The 15,586-nt window shown below is 43.4% G+C and overlaps 1 protein-coding gene and 1 long non-coding RNA gene across 8 annotated transcripts in view, besides 3 other annotated features; one reads left to right on the forward strand and one right to left on the reverse strand.

The window, feature by feature from the left end:
* Positions 1–15,586, forward strand: part of PACRG (parkin coregulated) — a 588,369-nt gene that overhangs the window by 451,268 nt on the left and 121,515 nt on the right. Inside the window, exon 5 of one of the 7 annotated variants that reach the window (XM_011535468.3) lies at positions 817–997. The exons of the other annotated variants lie outside the window; for them this stretch is intronic. Within the exon in view, the coding sequence (XP_011533770.1) occupies positions 817–833 (17 nt within the window). The 3' untranslated portion in view covers positions 834–997. Of the gene's footprint in view, positions 1–816; positions 998–15,586 lie in introns of those variants that run through there. 7 annotated transcript variants of the gene reach the window in all.
* Positions 2,588–3,168: an enhancer, noted in NCBI's record as "H3K27ac hESC enhancer chr6:163602019-163602599 (GRCh37/hg19 assembly coordinates)". NCBI's record gives its function as "activates a minimal SCP1, AML or CMV promoter by ChIP-STARR-seq in naive H9 embryonic stem cells {active_cell/tissue: H9 hESC(naive)}" and the evidence as "EXISTENCE:reporter gene assay evidence [ECO:0000049][PMID:30033119]".
* Positions 2,798–3,092: an enhancer, noted in NCBI's record as "tiled region #10544; HepG2 Activating DNase matched - State 5:Enh, and K562 Activating DNase unmatched - State 5:Enh". NCBI's record gives its function as "activates a minimal TATA promoter and a strong SV40 promoter by Sharpr-MPRA in HepG2 and K562 cells {active_cell/tissue: HepG2 | K562}" and the evidence as "EXISTENCE:reporter gene assay evidence [ECO:0000049][PMID:27701403]".
* On the reverse strand, positions 3,246–13,603 carry PACRG-AS3 (PACRG antisense RNA 3). The gene is made up of 4 exons (NR_122120.1): positions 13,482–13,603; positions 12,509–12,583; positions 6,426–6,519; positions 3,246–5,158 (listed from the first exon to the last, which is right to left on the reverse strand). It is a non-coding gene; the product is annotated as a PACRG antisense RNA 3 (long non-coding RNA).
* Positions 7,735–8,305: an enhancer, noted in NCBI's record as "H3K4me1 hESC enhancer chr6:163607166-163607736 (GRCh37/hg19 assembly coordinates)". NCBI's record gives its function as "activates a minimal SCP1, AML or CMV promoter by ChIP-STARR-seq in naive H9 embryonic stem cells {active_cell/tissue: H9 hESC(naive)}" and the evidence as "EXISTENCE:reporter gene assay evidence [ECO:0000049][PMID:30033119]".

Here is a 15,586-nt window from a genome sequence, read left to right on the forward strand (position 1 = left end):
CTTCTCCTTCCTGCAGCCTGGAACTCAAACGAGAAGGCCCGGGCTCCGGCAGCCACCTTTGGCTATGGAGTAATCTTGAGACACAGACACATGCAGGAAACTTTAGTATTAAAGTAGGAGAAGCCCCGTTCTTCTCTGACTTCATAGAGCCGTTGCACTTTATGGTAGCCTGGTTGCTTCCTTCTGGACTTTTTCTGACAGGAGAGAAATTAAACACCTGTCTTACCTAAGCCAGTATTATGTTGAATTTTCTGTTACATGCGGCCAAACTTAATCTTTACATTAATGCTACAACATTAATGAAACTGCTAGGAGAAGCTGCCTTGCCAGGCTCCCCGGTGGCTGCCATCACATCCAGCACCCGGTTTCTCAAACTTCCCCACACCCACCACAGAAAAGCAAGAACTAGGTACAGTATCTGGCATTCTGTAGGCACTGATGGTCATGGAATTCAGTCTCTCTGGTGTATTTTAAGTTGCCATTCAAAAATAAAGCACTCAGGTAATATAAGTGAATTTTGATTAAATTACAAGTAACAATTCCTATTCGGGTTGATAGAGCTCTTTCTTTAAAAAGGCTGAATTTTATCTCCTTTTATAGAATTAAAGTTTTTACTTTTCATTTGTGATGAGCTGAATTTTCAGGCTGATGAAATAAGTCACTGATATTTACCACACAGGACTTAATCAAAAAGAAGCTTAGGTTTCAATGGTGGGTTTCCTTTTTGGGCATGGACCGTGGTTTTATAGTGGAAAGCTTTGTAGCTTGGCTCACACTGATGTCCGCTGCTCCTCACATGTGCGTCTTATCTTGGAGGCTGGGCTCCTCCGTAGGTTCTCCTGCCAACAAGCGAGACAGAAAGGAGGCGGCAGCTGGGGGAACTCAGCCTTCCTTCCCACCACACCTGCACCTTGCTGAGCCACTGCTCCCAAGACGAGGCACAGAATTCCCAGAGCAGCCTGGCTTCAACCTACTCATTTGGTGTTCTTTAAATTAAAAAAAAAAAAAAAAAACTTCTGGCAAATCGTGGTGGCTCACGCTTGTAATCCCAACACTTTGGGAGGCTGATGAAGGTGGATTGCTTCAGCCCGGGAAGGAGTTCCAGGCCAGCCTGGGCAACATGGTGAAACCCTGTCTCTATAAAAGAAATTCAAAAGTAATCCAGGTGTGTTGGCACGTGCCTGTAGTCCCTGCTACTCGGGAGGCCGAGATGGGAGAATCAGATATCTGAGCCTGGCAGTTTGATGCTGCAGTGAGCCAGATTGTGCCACTGCACTCCAGCCGGAGCAAGAGAGCAAGATCTGTCTCAAAAAAAAAAAAAAAAAATTTTCTTACATCACTAGTTTTCTTGCATGGCCTATGAGTTCCCATCCACTCTGTAAGCCTTTATAAGTGTTATGGTGGGATCCAAGTATAAGCTCTGAGTTACTGTCTCATTCTCCCCCGTTCACTTACAGATGACATTCTCGCAGACCAGACCAGCAAGTCTCCTTGCCCGAGGCCACACAGGCAGGAACCGCCAGGCACCCCGTCCAGTGTCCCAGCCGAGCCCTCCTGGGAGGTTCCTGTGTGCTGGACACATGCCTGGCTGGCTATTACCTGTGTAGTTTATCCAGTGGTTACACTGACTTGAAGTGGTCTTTCTGAAGACGACATTGACTTTGAAATTACTTGCATTATCCAGTGATCAGCTCTGGTCATTGTGATCCTTTCCAAGCCATACATAATTTTGGGTTTTGCTGTGGCTGCTGACCAGCATCTCTGTTTAAGAGACTGAGCTTTGTGCTAGAGATTCTGGTTTTGATGCATTTCCTAGGCACGCCCACTTCTCCAGTAGAAAGCCAGGAGTGAGTCCCTCACCGAGCTGATCCTTGTGAAGATGAACAGTTCTCTCCATTTGTGTTTAGTGACAAGTATGTTCGTTAAAATATCACGAAGCCTTCACAAGATGTTCTACTAACTAGTTCGAGACACAGCTTGTATACTGTGCACTGAATGAGTTTGCATAGGTTGTTACATAGATTATCATACACCTATAATAAATAGAGTATGGAAAACACTGCTAAAAAGTTTCAATGAGGACCAGGTGCAGTGGCTCACACTTGTCATCCCAGCACTTCGGGAGGCTGAGGCAGGAGGATCGCTTGAGCCCAGGAATTCAAGGCTGCAGTGAGCTATGATTACGCCACTGTACTCTAGCCTGGGCAACAGTGATACTCTGTCTCAAAAAAAATAAAAATAAAAATTCATTGAGTTTAAGAGGGGTTTTTTGTATGGTTACAAAAAAAAAGCAGTTTAATTCCTTTACTCTTATGAGCCACTTATTTGGTTCTTCAAACATGTAGAGGCCAAAAAGGCACTGTTTCTTTAGGTTAAAAAAATGGGCAAAAAATCTGATTTTATGTTTCTTTTCTCAAAAATTATTCACTAATTATTAACAGCAAACGCTGCGTCTCCTGGAGTCACCAGGCACCGAGCGTTGTGTGTGTTTCACCCGCTTGGCGTTTTCATTCTCATTTCATGTATTTGAAAGCTGGGGCTCCGTACAGTTATGACATTGACCCAGAGTCACTCAGATTGCAAATGACAGAGCCAGGGTGTGAACCCAGATAGGTCAACCTCAGCCTGAGTGTCTCTAACTCTTCAGGTTAACAGCCTTCTCCGGATACCAAAGCAGCACTAAACCATCTATTCAGCTGTGCGGGCACCTGTGTGGGATAGAAGGGGCTGAGGGATCCTGCTGCCACATTGATAACTATCGCTGGAACCAGGGTCTGAAACCGAGTCAGACTGACCCTGAAACCTACTTGCCTGACCATTTTACTCCCATACCTCGGGCTATCTTGCAAAGGAAGGGTTAAAGAATACGTGATGCAACCTCCTGAAACAGGCAGCCTAGGAACTTTGACCCACACACTCAGCCCCGATCTCTGTGGCCACCTCTGTGATACAGACGGCCGCTTGGGGACAGCAGAGGCTCAGGGGCAGTGAAAAGCAGTGCCGGGGCTGGAGATGAAAGAGCCAATTCTCCATTCTTCTGTGAGTCCCCGGAGATGAACACTGTGAACTTGTTCCCAGTCTCTGTGTCTCGTGCCAGCGGCCCTCCCCTCCCCCTTCCAAGGACAAGTCCACCCCCAGAGGATTTGCCCCTGGAAATGGGTCCTCATGGACAGGGGAGAATCAGAGATTATTTGCTTGAGGTGGCAAAAAAAAAAAAAAAAAAAAAAAAAAATACAGACACATCTCCGGCCAACCCTTTTTATAGATGTATTTTTGTTTTTTACAAACCAAATAGCAGAGGTTGATTATTAGTACAGTAGTTTGGGGTTTTTTCTCATCATTAACCACTTAGTTACTATAAATGTGTTTTAACTCACGGGGAAAAAGTCCAGCATACCGTAAAACCTGAGTCCCACCCAGCCAGCTCGGAATGGAAGGCTTCCAAGGCCCGGGAGGCGCGCTCTGTCAAGTTGCTGATTCGGGAGATAGCAGTGAATCGGGGTTCCACCACGCCCCCAGAATACTATTCACAGCAGCTTTGTCATTGACCGTTCTCCCTTTTGGACGAGATCTGAAACAAAGCTTCCAATCACTTCCGATCCTAATAGCGTTACCTCTCTTAGGTAGGGTGTAAGGATTCTTAGTCAAATTTCAACTCAAGTAGGTTACCTAGGAACATTCTTAGGGCTTAACCTACTTAGTTCTTCTTGCGGTTTCAGTTGAAAGTGATAGACTCTTCCAGGCTCTTTGTGTTCCACGGTCCGGTGGTGAAATCACTGCTATCTCTCCCTCCTTAGAGAGCCCACTGCTTCCCACCAATGAGTTAAGTAGTTTTTCTTGCCCATTTCTGCAAATTTGTGTTCATAAAATCAGTTGATGGATGAAAGTTACTGAAGAAATTGCTAACAATTTCGAGGCTTTCCTTAAATTGATAGTTTGTTTTACTTTATTCTAGTTCTCAGTGGAAACAAAAGGCAAGAATGATCTTTGGAATGTTCTGTTTACAAAATCAACCCAAACAAGATATAGATGAGACTCATTGTCTTCCTCCAGAATAACAATCGCCTTTAATTTCTGTGCTGCTGAAACAGTCACAAGAGTCATGATAGATCCAGAAAGAGACCCTTGGTGCTTCATGTGGTATCTTTCTTTAGTACGGGTCTCTTTTACATTCAGCAGGTTTCATTAGAAAAAAGAATTTCAAAGTATTTCATTAACAAAATTGAGAAAATGCGTATTTAAACATTGACATCCTTATGAAAGAGTAATTTCTTACATAAATGTAGCATTTTCACCTATGTTACCTCATTTAATCTTCAGAACTAATCTTAAGTTGCAATTTCACAATTTTATAGACAAGGAAATGGAAACTCATAGATGTTAATTCACTCGTTCCGGGCCACGGAGGTGTACTTTTTAGAGCATAGTCTTATTTAATGGTCTTGACTCTAAGTCCAAAACAGAAGCCTCCACTTTGCTGAGCACCAAAAGATCGGGAGATGAGTCAGTGTGTGAGTCCCAAGAGGAAGAGAATCTGCGGGTCCTTAGCAGTTAAGGAAGCGTCATGAAACATTTCTTGAAGAATGGATAGGATTTAAATAGTTTAGAAGATGCAGTCTTGAAACTATGTGGGTGATCCAGGTTGCATGAGCAACAAATATTTGTTGGACAATTGAAGAGTGAATGAATGAGGACGGAGGGTGTCTGAGATCAGGAAAATGATCTGGGAAGGTATGAAGGCAAACATTCCCACGACGTGTTCGGGGAACCGTGAGTAGGAGCCACTGGCTCTAAGAGAGTGTCCCTCTGGACAAGTAGAGAGAGATGGACTGCCATGGGTGCTCTGGGGGCTCGAAGGGCATGGAAGGGCATGGAAGGCCAGGCTAAAAAGTGTTGATTTTGCCTTACAGATTAGGTCAGGTCTTCATTGCTTTTGACTAAGGAACTTTATCCTGAAGACAAGATCATGGGAAATCATTGACAACTTGTAGGACATGATATGACCAAACTCAGTGTTTTAGGAAGATGAGCAGGGAGTGAAGCACAAAACAGATGAAGAGTGTGTGTTGACTCTGGTTTTAGGAACTCACCCTGTGCCTCTCTAAAGCTTCTGTCAGCTCTTCCCATCAGTGGGAAGCAGATTTAGAGGCCAAGCTGCCTAGAAGACATAGGGTTAAAGAAAAAAAAAAGGAAGAAAAAGAAATGCACCTTTAAAATTTCCCAACCTTGATTTATACCTACAGAGATGTATGTGTGGTCACTCCTTTTATTAGGGTTTTTAAGCTAATCAGTAGGCTTGACTAAAGAATTGTAAAACTTTCACTACAAGAAAAATTAAAAGAAGTCATTTCCTGTATCTAAAATGATCACGTATACTTCTGAAATTAGGAAAACGCAGGCCAATGATAAAAATATAACTGTAACGAAACTGTAGGTTTTTTACTGATTGTATTACACAATATTTCCTTTTGGATTCTTAATACAAAGCAATGCAACACTGGTTTGGTTTAAAATAAAATATGGAGAGATTCTTGTTCTGTAGGAAGCTCATCACTCTAATGGGTGTCTTACTCACTGGAACAGTATTTTGGCTGTACTGGAGCACATCGAAAGGAATGAGATTTAGCTTTGCCAAACTTCCACTGTGAAAGAGTTTGCTACAACAGTGTTTTATTTTATTCTTATTGAACTTCAGCCAGTTGAAAATAGAATCTCCTCACCATCCTTTTAAATTAGCCTTAAGCTGCAGATAAAAGACAAAAATCAATGTGCAAATTTAGCTCCTTGTGCTCGGTTCCTTAAGAAATTTACCCCAGTGCTAATATGCAGGATGCATAGATAATAGAACATAGAGTAACTGGAAGTTTTAAAGTAGCATTTCTTGTTCAGTTTAGGTCTACTTAAGAGTCTGGTAAATCCTGTACATAAATTGTTTCTTTAATGCTACATTAAAGACAGTGCATCTCTTTATACTGTCCATACTAGCTCAGTAACACTGCCCCTGATAACATTTCATGTGGCCATGACAAATTATGGTGAAATTTTCAGTGTCCAATTGGAATGGAAATTGCTAGAAAAAAGCGGTGCCTAAATAATGGTGCAATTCTATTTATTCCATTTCACTAAGAATTACTAAGGGCTTCGAAAACCCAAATCGAAAAAGGAAGCACATAAACAATGTTCGTATTGGCCATACTAGCTTGAATGTCTCTAATTGTTCTAAGTGGTACAGGTGCTATGAGCTCCTAAGAATATCCCTGTGTTTGAGAGGAGTTAACTCAGAGCCTTGGGTTGCTTGCTGTCCTGCCGCACTGCACGAGAAAGGTTAGCAACATAAAGAAATGCAACTTTGCCTACTTCAGGCATTAATATAAAGAAACCTACGTACAGGCACCCAGAGACACAAAAAGAGAGAGAAAGCTCACCATTCTTGAAAAAGGCAGTTCTGCAGGCTCCACAAACAAGTACACCAGTGAATGGGAATGATAAGAGGAGAACAATTTGGTTACATTCAGAGACCTGGTGGGCAAATGGAAATGGGACAAGCAGTAGAAATTAGGCCAGATCATGGAAGATTTGTTTTGTTTTGTTTTCATGGCATGATACCTGCAAGGCCAGGAAGGCTGAAGCCAGAACACCAATGCAATTAATTAGCAGAAACCAAAAAGTAATTAATTTAGCACACCACCATATAGGGCAGAAGCAAATACTGCTGTTTGTAGCCAGGGATGGGGAAAGGATCTAACCACACTCCAGGCACCTCTGCACATGGCACCACAGAGAGAAAGATGGAGGAGGAGTGCAGCCGTACGCTGGGAGTCATCACAATTGTTTTTTTACCGATAAAAGCAAGTGGGAACAATTGGCCAAAACAAGCCTGGATTGTAGTAGAAAATTAAGCTAAGAAAGAAAGATCAGGGGACATTGTGATAAAACAATCCACGTAATTTCTATAACATGGATCCAGCTTAATAAGATGTCCTGAAGTTCAGCATGAGTAAAGTTCCAGGACAGTTCAGGGTTGTCATAGGAAATCTACATTTTTCAAATTAACAGGACTTAAAGATGTTACTGTTACTTCAACACTTGGTAAATTTCACTGCAAATATATAAGCCATTTTAAAGGAAAGTATTAGATAATCAAAGAATTCGTTAAGAAAAAGAACAAATTGAGTGCCCACAATATAAATGGTGGCCCTGCTGCAGATTAGTTCCCGATGCCTGAGATAAGATGCTGGAGGAAATCGCGGCATCATCAATTTAATCCCACACAAAATGCAAGCGACCACCTTAGCTTAGTTGCAGTTGTGGTGGGCATGAACTTCACAGGGGCATAATTGAAGGCCAAAATTAAATGCTCTTTATTTCTCTGTATCTCCGTGTAATGTCCTGATCCTGAGCCCCAGACTGCCTCATGGGTCCAGTAGGGATGCCTCTCAGCAGGTTGTGCATCGGGAGAATTTTGCTGCATTGAGCTCCAGAGCTGCTTCCCTGTGTCTCCTCTCCCACTGCTGACCCCACCCCCATCTACTCTAAGCCCCAGCAAATCACCCCAGCACTCCCAGGCAGTGAGTGGGGGAGGGCGTGCCCCCTCCTCTCTCTGTTTTGGTCCAGCCTATATGTCACAGGGCTTCTTTAAACAGTGACTGGGCCTTTCTGCTGGCCTTCACTTAACTCTCAGCTCAGCTTGCAGGCACCCTCTGAGACGCAGGCACTGCCCCCTTATAGAATCTGCATAGTGGGCTGCCTAGCCAGGGGGCTTCGTTGTGTGGCCTTTTCTCTGGCAGGCTTTCAGATTTCCCCCTTCCCCCAAGAATGGAGCCAAGGGGTGGACCCCAACATAGCCTGCTGGCTGCAAAGCTGCACACGCCTGGAGAGCTGCTGTCCAATGGCAAATGGAAGCAACATTCTCATTGTCTCCACTCTCAGACACCCTCAGATTACTGAGGGAATTCTCTCGTGTGCCCCCTTCAACACACAGGCAGACACAGATACACACACACAGACACAGACACACACACACACGCAGACACAGACACACACACACAGACTACTTGTCATTCTAAACTTGCCACCTCTGTCCTCAGCATGGGGCCAGTGTGGTGGAGAGGCCTGTTTTGCCTGGCTGTGCCCACAGTCTCATCTCTCCCAACTTAGATTCTTACTAAGAGTTGGAACTCTTGATTCCTCTGGCCGCTTCTGGCAGCCTCTTCCCCTGGACACACCCTATCTCCCTGCCCAGTGGAGCCGTCGCGTGCAGGTGTGCATCTCTCACTCCTGCCGGACCAGGCGCTCCCTGGCCCCATCTCACAGACTAAAACATGAGGCTGTTCCTTTGCTTCCGAGTAGTTTGATGTCATTCAACCCAGCATGCATTTCCTCTCCACCGCTCTGCTCCCTCCCTGGAGGTGCTTCTGTTCCTACCCGCTGAGGGGCACAGTCAGGAGGTATTTAGTCGGCCTCCCGTCGCCCTCACCGCACACACAAGACCAATTTGACGGTTGTTTGGGGGCATCCACTCCTGGGGCTCTTGACATTTTCCCCGGGCTCTGCGCCATCAGCGCCCTTTCCTGCCCCCACTTCACGGGCTCTGTCTCCTCTCCAGGCACCTGCTCTGCAGGGAGGGAGACACCCCCCGTCCTCAAGCTCCACAGGGTCCCGGGTAATTTCATCCGTTTCCCTTCCCTATCAGTGGCTCCCAAATCTGTTTTTCTCAAAGTCTGTTTTCCTCTGAACACCAAATCACAGTTTCAACTGTATGTGATACAACACCTGAACCTCAGGATGGCCTAAATTGAACTCATTATTGACTTCTCACATCCGCTCCTCCGTTGTATGCCCAACATCCCTCCATAGACTGATCTGTTCGCGGCCTCTGCTGGAACCTCAGTGTCACCTTGGACGCCACCCTCGCCCACCCTACCCACGCCAGTCAGTGCACCCAGGCCTGTGCAAGTGGCCTGTGAAAGGCTTCTGTGCTCGCCGCCCGCCTTTCCAGTGGCTCAGGACTGGCCCCATCTCTTTGCAGCACTGCTGAGAACGCCTCTCAACTGAGAGCCCGCGCTCCTCCCCTCCATGAATGTATCTGCTTTCCACCCCAGACTTCATCATGGTGCTGCAACGTTGACAGCCCCGTCACCTGCAGAACCATCCAAACCCATCGGCAGCACACAGAGACCCTGCTGGATTTCCCAGCCCCGAATCCCACCTTTTCTACTTCACCCTCTTTTCTACCTCACTCAGTGGGTTTCCCATCCCAAAGTGGATTCTCACCTCCATGGTGTATCAAAGTCCTACTCCTTCTCCCAGGTCCAAAAGAGCTTCTCTGGGGAGGAACCCCAGCATCCCAGGCCATGAGTCAGGACTCTCCTCCAGCACTGCTGTGACGCGGCACGTGACCCCACCTGCGCACTTAGCACCTCCTGTTACGCGCCTGTCCGCTGATCTGCGCCTGTCATCACGTGAAGAGCTCCAGGGAGGCCGGGCTTTCTCCCAGTCCCCTTTATATTCCTCGGGTCTAGGGCATGCCTCACACTAAGTCAATACCAAATAAATTGTCCACTCTTCAACAAGGCAGGAAACATGAGGGGAGAGTTAAAAAGTCCCAAAATGAGCATATCTCTTTGAAACACCCCTTACAATATTAGTTTTTAAAATTCTACTTGTTGAGCTATGTTGGAGTTGTGTGGGTTTATATGAGTATCTTTTCCTACAGGGAACTATGTGATCTGTGCAAATAGAGTCCCCACACACAGGACTGGTTTGCATCAGAACATCGGGGAGGCAGGAGCCCCAAGTCAACCATTCTTTGTATAGAAAAAGCTCTCCCAAGTCACTCTTTTCTTTGGCATGTGCATAGTCATCTTTTACCAAATGTTTAGTCAGTATCAAATTCATTTGCTACTGGAAAACCTGTTTTGATGACAGTTGTTGCTAAAAACCTGTACCTGATCAAAATGATTGAGCTTACTAACTCTAAATTAAGGAGTGTCTATTTAAGCCCCCGAAGCTACAGTAGAAAATCTAACGTCATCTCTTAGAGGTGAGCTTGTTAAAATACTGACGTGATGCCTTTGTGAGTCCACCGTCTCCTTTATAAGAATCAGGCCACTGATCCTCAGGCCTGAAGGCTCATCTCTTGGGAAATAGAGGTCACACCAAGGGTTTGGTCCGTGAGTGAGAAGGTCGTCTCCAGCCTAGAAAGGTGAAGACTCTTTGATTCTACAGTTCTAAAGCGTGGCCTGACCGTTTTATTTTAGTGGCCTTTCTCACACTTTGTCTAGTTTCATTTTTGTTACATAATCTGCATAAAAATTCCCTCAGTAGTTACAATTGCAGTTTAGTTCATGTCTGACTTGGTGTGTCGTTCTGTTGTGTTTGAGATCTGAAAAACTGTCGTCATTGCCCATCCAGATAGCATTCAGTAGAGGGGAAAGGATTCCTTTGTACAAAGCAAGCATGGGCTTAGGATATTTCCACATACTATTCATTTGCAGACATTGACTAAGAACAATTAGGAATGTACGCTAGAACGTGAAAAACATCTTTTACATTTGGATCCATCTTGTAAGTGACCAACATACTTTTCTTTGAAAAAATAGAGCCCATACGTTTGTGGCCTAACAAGACATGAGAGGATAATTGATTAAAATGTCAAAGGTGGTTGGGGAATGCTGAGATGGAATGATACTGCAGGAAAGATTTCGCAAAAACAAATTAAAGTGGAAATTACAATTCATGTATAAAGCCCGTTTGTATGATCAAAGCAGGCATCATCTGTACTGCTAAGTTCTACGTATAACATAGTTTTGTTAAAGAAAAGTCAGGCATGAGATGGACATAAGGGATTTGCTGACAAATGCATAACAGCTCTAATGACTAATTTTGGTTTTAGTTAGTGCAATTCTGTAGGTGGACATTTAGCCAGTTTGTTAACAAGGTGTTTTAAGAATGTCTTCCAGGACAATTTAAAAAAAGAGAGAATTATCTTCTCTTACAGAACAATGAAAAACAGAATTATCTTTCAGGGATGGATGTTTATTACATAACCTATTGGAGAATAATGGAAGGGAACTAGATGCCTTATGCCCAGCTTATTCATTATCTGATACCTTTAAAGGCTGAATGGCATTGCCAATTATTCATTGTGGCAGGGGCTGCCATCAATTTTTAGCTTACAGATTGCTAGTTTCTCCCGTGTTCTCTTCCATGAAACAGCAACATACTCCATTTTGTTCTCTATTTAAAAATTTTACATTGCAGCCCTCCAACAAATTAATTCCATTTAGGTTTCTTCGGGAAGAGATACAAATGAGTTTTGTGAAAGTGTACTTAAATGCAGCCATCCAGCCATCAGCATCAACAGGCAGTCAGCTGTGCCCAGTGCCATGCGCCTGATGCCCGTGACTGACAAGGGCCCGCATTCACTGTCCCGGGCTTATGTGAATGCTGACACACTGGTCACCGCAGGGCATACTGCTTGTTGCTGCTTAGTTCATGCTTGCACGGGCAGACCCCCAGGTGGCCTGTCATTTATTTCTATAAGCTAGGTCTGGTAACACCACAAAAGCAGTAACATTCATTTATATGAAGGAGAAGTACATAATCCAAAAATCAGAAAAATTACTTCTGATAGAAGAAACTAGGTTTCAAATGCGGGTCTTAATAATACAACTGGATTCCGATTGCATTACATTGGTTTTCTCTTCCAAATAATTGGCAAATGAGGACAAACAGCTCATCCCCATCCTAACAGGAAGGTCTGAATCTGAAGCCTTACCATCGGTGACTCATTAGGACCCCATTAAGAGCCAGAAAACTTGCCTAAATATAATACAAATCGAATCTTCAATGAGGACTACACATTTGTAAACTAAATTTGAAGTCCCCAAACATTTACAAGTACATTTGTTCTTCATAAGTACAGTCGTAAAGAAAAGCCCAGTCAGTGACAGTCAACCTTGAGCAACGTTGGAATATGAGGTTTGAAAGTGAAAATAGAGGTCGGCGCACAATCTAGTTAGTGCAGAGTTGCATTAGACACAAGTAGTCAGTGACCCCGATGCACGGAGGAAATTCTGAAGGTTCAACATCTGTCTGAAAATAATCGAAAGGCCCTGCCTAGCAGCACAAGGGACTTTCAAGAATGGGCTTTCCTGTAAATTTTGGATTTCTTTTCTTAGAGAAGGTAAAAATGACCTGCTTTCTACTTTTCTTCTGATTGGACTGCAATGGCCAAAAATATTTATAAGAATAAAAGTTAACAAAAACAGTCTAACCCGTCAGTTCAGAACCCTAGTAAAATTTGTTTTGGAGCCTAGAACTAGAATTGGGCAAAAGTGTAGGGCTCTTTCTCTTATACCAAAAAGCCCACTCAAATGTTCTGTGAGCCCGCTCCAAAGATAAAGTCAGAAACAACTTAACAACTTCGTCTTCTTTCACTGATTACTTCCCTCGTGTTCTGTCTATTGCTGATGATGTCCTGACAAACAGCTCCAAGCACACTCACCCAGTGCCCGTGTGCAGCATGCAGACCACTTGTCACCCAATCCATTTCTGAGGGATGACTGTGTTCCTGAAACAACTGAAATCAGAAATCCCTTATTTAGCATTTATTAGAATACTGAATTTAAAATATTACATATTATCATTTGAAAAACAAAACAAACAAACAAAAAACCTGTTACTTAGATTCAAGTTAAAAGAGGGACTATGTATTCACCCTTAGTCCAGGAGAACAGCTTAAAATATGAGCACCTTTTCCTAAGCCATTCCACTTAAATGGACACTAGACCTCAAAATTGCAAACAATAAATACATAAATAAAAGCAATAATTAAAAAACTAACTTCACCATCATCCCTTCCCGCCACCCCCCAAACCTACTTCCTTCCCAGGCTTCAGATGAAATTTCTATGAATGATCCCACCCAGTCTCATTCCTCAGCTCAGTGTCAAGTTCCAGTGTCCTCTGATCTTCCCTTTCTCTGACCCCCACACCTTTATGGCGAGTGGCCCCCCAACGCCACGAGGCCTTTCCCCTTCACTGCTATGGCCGCTTTCTGCACCACCCTTGGGGGAGGTCACAGCCTCTCTGTGACCTAAGCTCTCTCCTCTCTAAAGAGAAGGCATCCACTTAGGTGGTTTATAGGGTTTCTCCTAGCTCAAGGATCTTGAGTGTATCGTTGAGCTAAGATACACTCACGAGCTGAGACCTCCTGACTCAGGCACTGTGGCTGCACTCCACCAGGTGACTTATCTGTGGACCACACTCCACGTGGCCATCTGTGCCTATGCTCTTCCTCCACCCATCCACCAAAATGCCATCTTCTCCACTCCCACTCAGAGCCATGACGTCCCTCTGCCCCCAGGTTGTCCAGGATCCTCTCATCTTCCATTTCCAGCCACCTTTTTTCTCTAAACCCTGTAACACTTCATAGGAGTCCCTCCCAATGAAAGCCACACCCCGCCTGGTGTCTCACACCCCAAAGCAGACTGTAAGCTTCCTGAAGACTGTCCTGCTCCTCAATGTCCCATCCCCTCCCGAACTGACCAGCGGTGCTATCTACGGGGAAGCACCGGGGCAGTTGTTGTTGAATTGATTTCAGTTAATTCAGTTTTTAACTGAATCACACAAAGGATGTCACAAGCTAGCTTTTATAACTAAAGAAAGCACAGTTGTGCAGCTGCCTCCAGAGTCTCTGGGGGTTAGAGGGAATGAAATAGGGAAAGTCCCCAGAAGCCAGCTGACTGCTGCTCAAACCAGGTGCAGGTTGGGAGAAAATCTGTAGTGAATGAAGGAAAATGAAATGCACAGTGGAAAAGAATACCAACATTCTTGCAAAGGAACCTTAAAGTATTATTTTTGCAAAGAATGCAAGGATTATTTCAGTTCCCTTGTTGACTGTTTTGTATGGTCTTCCTACAGATACTTTCAGAAAAAGATCTATTGTTTGTTTTTCTCTGTGCTGACACAGTATCCATTGTTTAGAACTGTAATCATAGCACACATAGTTGAAAATGTGGGCTCGGGGACAAGCTGTATTTTCCCCTCTGGTTCTTTAGACAGTGAATACTGTGTTCTTTATCTCTTATCACAGCTCTTTTGTCAAACATTTAATGATTTTTTCCCCCAGACAAATTTGTAGTTTGTTATCAACCATAAAAATGTCTATTGCCTTATTTTTAAACATTTAAACTTTGGTAAGTGTGTCTCAAGATGAGCATGAATTAAGGTGTTTATTTCATTTTAAATACTTTTTTTTATCATAGCGTACAAAGCTAGAGTTCTCTGACATGGATGGCTTATGTGGATCTCTATTTAGACTTGATGAGAGAACATTTTATTTTTGTACTGTGTGTATTTGCAGGGAAGATGGTTAGGCTGACTGGCTCCCAGGTTGGGTGTGTTGGGAGCATCTGTCAAGGGTTGGACAGGTGCAGACATCTGTGACGTCCTGCAGTAGGCAGCCATCACTCGATTTCCTGCTTAAAAAGATCTGACACACTTCTTCACTCCTTGGATCTCCATTTTTTCCAAATGCCCGATACTTCTTACCATTCTACAACCCTTAAACCGGATCCCAAAGTCTGTGAGAGATAAAAGCCTTTTTTAAACCCAATAAACAGTCACTCTTTGTTGTTCCTGGTTTTAAAATGACAATTTATTGCTTGATACAGACATTTGAAGCCTATAATTCAAATGAATATTTATAAAAATAAATTTCAAGCACACTGGCATGTAACTGCAGGGTAATTTTTAAATATTCATTTTTAAGGTGGTGATAGAGTCTAGAAAAATTTTAATGTGCCACGTTATATTTTATAAATATCCAACTATAGAAATATGCCTTGTGTGCTAATCATTTCCATAAGGCTTCACTTAGATTGAGAGAGTGAAAATGGGTGTCAGTCTTTCAAATATCCAGAGGAAAAACTTTCATTTTGTTTTAAATTTGTTTTTGAGGGCTGAATTTAAACTTAAGACAATGTATGAAGAGTTAAGGTCAGAGTTGGTACTTTCACCACTATTCCATTTGTATTGCTTTAAATTCTCTGATTAAGTGTGGAAAACTATCAACAAGGCGATTGTTCCCAGGGGCTGCCCGGCCAGAAATACCGAGACTGACCATTTTTAAGAACCCAGTGCTATGTGCGGAACAGGGCGGCATGGTGGCCTCCTGAGAACTGGGAGGGAAACACTAAATGAAGACGTGAACACATGGGATTTCTTTCTTTCTTTATTTTTATTAAATAAAAAATATTTTTATTTTGTTATATTGAACTCGACAAATTTTCCTCAGAGATAATTTTTGTTTCAATATTCAAAGTTAGAAATTGTACCAGCCCGTCATAGTTTGAAAGTATTCCTAAAAGTAATTCAAATAAAAATGTATTTTAAATGTAGTACACATTTTAAACATATTGGAGAAAACATAGAATCAGAGACTTTTTCAAATCCATGTTGGACTAGGAAACTGTTTCTTTTTGTTTCTTTTTTTTTTTTTTTTTCCTGAGATGGAGTCTCATTCTGTCACCCAGGCTGGAGTGCAGTGCCGCGATCTCGGCTCAGTGCAACCTCCACCTCCT

The sequence above is a fragment of the Homo sapiens genome, chromosome 6 (assembly GCF_000001405.40).
Source record: "Homo sapiens chromosome 6, GRCh38.p14 Primary Assembly".
Taxonomy (NCBI): domain Eukaryota; kingdom Metazoa; phylum Chordata; class Mammalia; order Primates; family Hominidae; genus Homo; species Homo sapiens.